The 5,264-nt window shown below is 37.7% G+C and overlaps 1 protein-coding gene across 1 annotated transcript; it reads left to right on the top strand.

Moving 5' to 3' along the window:
- The first annotated feature begins 204 nt into the window (after positions 1-204).
- Positions 205-3,200, top strand: OR2K2 (olfactory receptor family 2 subfamily K member 2). Its single transcript, NM_205859.2, has 2 exons — positions 205-323; positions 1,947-3,200. The coding sequence occupies exon 2, from the start codon at positions 1,996-1,998 to the stop codon at positions 2,944-2,946; it is 951 nt and encodes a 316-aa protein (NP_995581.1). The 5' UTR covers positions 205-323; positions 1,947-1,995; the 3' UTR covers positions 2,947-3,200.
- Positions 3,201-5,264: the final 2,064 nt, after the last annotated feature.

Below are 5,264 nucleotides of genomic sequence, written 5' to 3'. Positions count from 1 at the left end.
ACTTTAAATTGTTCAGGGACAACAGATATTCCCCCAAAACAATAAATGATTTAAATTTACCTAATATTTCAGTTGCTATCCTTTGGTATTTTTAGTTATGGTGGTAAGAGTTAATAATTTCAAAAGAAATGAATCGCACTATTGATTTGTACATAATATTTAACATTTTAAAATATGAATTAATTTATTATTTCTTGGACGTAGTTAACTTTATGAAGTGCATCATAAAACAACGTTTTATTTGAAGTTGCTGATACGGAATTCAGATGGGAGGACCAATTCTTCTTGGCTACTATTAAATACTTTTGAATATCAAATCTCAGGTAACTGGGCTGATTTTTTCACTTAAAAACTTGTGCTTGTTAGTCTTAAGAGTAGCACAAAAATTAAGCTTCTTTGAAGTAATGTTTTATAATAATCTAATAAATTTTTTATTATTAGAGAAATCTATTAAATATAAAATTTGGCAGAGAAATTCATAAGATGAAAGCAATTTTTAAGAACATGTATATATGAAAATAGGAAAGACTCAGTGGAGAAAGAAAACGGTTGAAGGTTTATTAAAAGGCAATATGAGTGCAGAAGCAAGGTAAGTTTTTTGTAATAATTTTTTGTTAATAATGTGAAATGTAAGGAAAAAATATACAACTTTAAGTTTCTGACTGTCCTGCTAGAAACTAGTTTTGCCCTGCAGCGACCCCTCTGTGGGAATCTCATTGATCACAAGTGAAATTCTGGAAGTGCTAAAGTTAGTTTGCTCAAGTTCACTGCTCATGGATATGATCATGATGGTGGGTCAACATTCTTCTCTTGCCAATTCCAATGTACTTATTTATAACTATGTGCTCTGTAATCTTATTTTTAAAGAGATCTTATGGTAATCTTCCAAGGGAGTTTAGTTTCTGCATTTCCTGGATATATGGGTTTTCGTATATTGCCTGGCTATAATTTTTAGAGCTCTTTACAAACTCACAAAGATATGGGGCTCAACAATGAATGAAATTGTACGGTGGATGTATTAGTATTAAACGTATTAGTATTAAATTGTGTGACATAAACTGGCTCTTAAATATAATCACAAATTAGTATCTACAATGCTTCAAGCATTGTTGTCCTTTTTGAAACCAGTGTACAGCCCCCCCAAACTGTTAGCTGGAAAGGGCAGAGTTCATTTAGACCCAGAGCTTCCGACTATGAAGTTGGTTTAAATTTTTTTTTCTTTTTTTTGAGACAGAGTCTCACTGTCACCCAGGTTGGAGTGCAGTGGTGCAATCTCGGCTTACTGCAACCTCTGCCTCCCTGTCTCAGCTTCAGCCTCCTGAGTAGCTGGGACCACAGATGTGCGCCACCACATCTGGCTAATTTTTGTATTTTTCGTAGAGATAGGATTTCACCATCATGTTGCCCAGGCTGGTCAAACTCCTGAGCTCAAGCAATCCACCCGCCTCAGCCTCCCAAAGTGCTGGGATTACAGGCATGAGCCACTGTGCCCGGCCTAAAATTTATTTGTTTCTTTCAAGGTTCCTCCTCTTCTTTTAGTGAAGATCAATATTGCTTTTTATTGTACATTTGAGCTTTCTTTTCCTCACTTATCTGGATTACTTTTCTGATTTGAGCTCAATAACTTCTTCAATGTACATTCATATTTTTCCTCATTCGGTCACTTTCAAATCTTTATTAAAGACCTACTGTGTGCCAAGGATAGGTTTAGGAGCTCAGTTTCAAGTATTAAATATGTATATTCTTTTTTCAAATTTGCTGTTTTCTAAATTTTGTTGTGGAAGAATCAACTTATGTACATCAACCTGCTCCCCCCCTTACATCAATAAACACACTATCCTGTGATTTCTTGTAGTAAAATTGCATTTATAATAGTGAAAATAAGTTTGAGAGTATTTTCCTAACTAAATGAATATCACACTTTATTCATTTCTTTATGTCCTCAGATTAAATGAAGGGAATAGTACTGGAAGAAATATAGATGAAAGAAAGAAAATGCAAGGAGAAAACTTCACCATTTGGAGCATTTTTTTCTTGGAGGGATTTTCCCAGTACCCAGGGTTAGAAGTGGTTCTCTTCGTCTTCAGCCTTGTAATGTATCTGACAACGCTCTTGGGCAACAGCACTCTTATTTTGATCACTATCCTAGATTCACGCCTTAAAACCCCCATGTACTTATTCCTTGGAAATCTCTCTTTCATGGATATTTGTTACACATCTGCCTCTGTTCCTACTTTGCTGGTGAACTTGCTGTCATCCCAGAAAACCATTATCTTTTCTGGGTGTGCTGTACAGATGTATCTGTCCCTTGCCATGGGCTCCACAGAGTGTGTGCTCCTGGCCGTGATGGCATATGACCGTTATGTGGCCATTTGTAACCCGCTGAGATACTCCATCATCATGAACAGGTGCGTCTGTGCACGGATGGCTACGGTCTCCTGGGTGACGGGTTGCCTGACCGCTCTGCTGGAAACCAGTTTTGCCCTGCAGATACCCCTCTGTGGGAATCTCATCGATCACTTCACGTGTGAAATTCTGGCGGTGCTAAAGTTAGCTTGCACAAGTTCACTGCTCATGAACACCATCATGCTGGTGGTCAGCATTCTCCTCTTGCCAATTCCAATGCTCTTAGTTTGCATCTCTTACATCTTCATCCTTTCCACTATTCTGAGAATCACCTCAGCAGAGGGAAGAAACAAGGCTTTTTCTACCTGTGGTGCCCATTTGACTGTGGTGATTTTGTATTATGGGGCTGCCCTCTCTATGTACCTAAAGCCTTCTTCATCAAATGCACAAAAAATAGACAAAATCATCTCGTTGCTTTACGGAGTGCTTACCCCTATGTTGAACCCCATAATTTACAGTTTAAGAAACAAGGAAGTCAAAGATGCTATGAAGAAATTGCTGGGCAAAATAACATTGCATCAAACACACGAACATCTCTGATTGGGTCCCTATGGTTTTACCAGAGATGTGCCCCTGGCAGAGCTCATCAGAGAAATTCGAGACAACATACAACCTCTTAGAACTCTGATCGGATCTTATCTCTATATAATTTCACAGTTATGAGCTGCATACACAGAGTGATTGCCTATTAATAATAGTAGGTTTCAATTTGCATTTGTTAATATTTCCTTTTTGTGTTTTGTGGTTGTGAGGTTTTGAGTTATAGAGTCATTAAATGTTTGCTACAGAAGAAATCGTGTATATCTTCTGTGATTTAATCCTTTCTCAAAGGAGGTGGGAGCATAAAGAAACAAATAAAGACTGGCCTTAATTGTGCAAGTGAGAAAACAGAATTTAAAAATGTAAAAGACTAGCTCAACATCACACAACTGTAGAACTGGGACTATGACATCCTTCCGATTTCTTGGCCAGAGCTTGTTCTACCACATGATGGTGGCTCTCTAATTACCCCGCATTATTCAAAACTCCTGATTAAAACTCCTTATCTCCCTGAGTAAGGCATTCAATGATGCCTACTTGATTTTTCCACTTGCCAGCCTTGCTTTTCTAAGCACATAAATACTTGTGCAAATTGTATCTGCTTTTATGCCAGTATACTACTCATATACTAATTAAGTCTTTTTCATTCATGTTTGCCTTTTTTCTTCATTGGATGATTGACTTCACAGAGACATGTATTCTTGTTATTTTGTACCTTTTCTGTTTACAGCACTCATTCAGTAAATTAACACATTTATCAGCTTTACACCAGTCACTTTATTTGAGAAGAAGGTACCACTTGTGAAAATTATAAAGAAGAAACAAAGGCAATGAGGTATATTGCTTTATAAATACTTAAACATTACAGAGACAATGTTTATATTAGTTGTTTTAAATCATTTATTTGCATACAAATATTGCTTGTTAAAAATGCCTTCACTCCCAGATATTCTGATTCAGTGACTCTAGGGTGGTTCCTCAATAGTCTGTAGTTACAGGTGGAGCCCCAAGAAATTCTGATACAGATTGTGCAGTGACCATACATTGGGAGACATTATTTCCAGCAAAAATTTATCTTTCAAAAAGAAAAGTAGGATTAGTTCTTATTTCTCTCTTTTTCCTTTTTTATTTGATTTTTTTTCCTTCATTCTTTCTGCCTCCATGTGTACCTTCTTACTTGTCTATCTCTACTTCTAGAGTAGGGAAGCGAAGAGGGTTTTGACTGGAAGAATGTAAACTCACTGGACAAATTAAAAATATAAAATACTTTAAAAGTTTTAGCATTAGATGTTGAGTTTTGGATTACTTAACGCTAGCATTGGGAGAAATACCTAATGTAGATGATGGGTCGATGGGTGCAGCAAACCACCATGGCACGTGTATACCTATGTAACAAACCAGCTCGTTCTGCACATGTGTCCCAGAACTTAAAGTATAATAAAAAAATTAAAAAACATACATCTAGGACTTCTGTTACATGTTCCTAGATGTGTAACCCATATATAAAGAAACTCAAAATAACTATATAGCAAAATTCTGGAGATGAAGCAATGAAACAATTTTTTTTTTTTTGAGACAGGGTCTCACTCTGTCACCCAGGCTGGAGTGCAGTGGCACGATCTCGGTTCACTGGAACCTCTGCCTCCCAGGTTCAAGTGATTCTCCTGCCTCAGCCTCCCAAGCAGCTGGGGTTACAGACATATGCCGCTACGCCTGGCTAATTTTTTGTATTTTTTGTAGAGGCGGGGTTTCACCACGTTGGCCAGGCTGGTCTCGAACTCCTGACCTTAAGTGATCTGCCCACCTCGGCTTCCCAAAATGCTGGGATTACAGGTGTAAGCCAATGCGCCCGGCCAACAACGGGATAAATTTGATGCCAGATTTTGCTGCCAAGAGACGTTTGATAGTAGAGAATGGAATTATGCCCCGAGTAATGGTTTTGGAATGGTAAGGGAAAGCTGACTGGGAAGCATTTATCCTAGAAGTAACTATGTTTCTTCCTAGATACCTCAGTCTTCCCGATGCAATGGGCACAATCATTGCCTGGCAATTTCAGTGTTATGTTGTAGTGTAATTTTATAGTAGGTTTTTATTCGAGTAGAGCTAAATTTTATTATAATATAACTGAATTGTCTGCTTTCTGGAATTCATTATGTGTGGTTCTAAATATAAACAGAAATAGCTAGAGCTATAGAAATAGCTGAAAGCTTTACTTCAAAGAGGGAACTATGAGAGACCTTGGAGACACAGACTGAACACCCTCTGTAGTCAGTCTGCCAGCTTTGACACAAGGAACTGAGCAGATTGGCATGGAACCA

This window comes from Homo sapiens, chromosome 9 (assembly GCF_000001405.40).
Source record: "Homo sapiens chromosome 9, GRCh38.p14 Primary Assembly".
Taxonomy (NCBI): Eukaryota; Metazoa; Chordata; class Mammalia; order Primates; family Hominidae; genus Homo; species Homo sapiens.
Note: the sequence above shows the minus strand (reverse complement) of the source record. Positions and strands in the feature narration are given on the sequence as shown.

Excerpts from the sequence above, each read along its gene's own strand:
- OR2K2 (NM_205859.2), top strand. The coding sequence starts at position 1,996 with ATGCAAGGAGAAAACTTCACCATTTGGAGCATTTTTTTCTTGGAGGGA.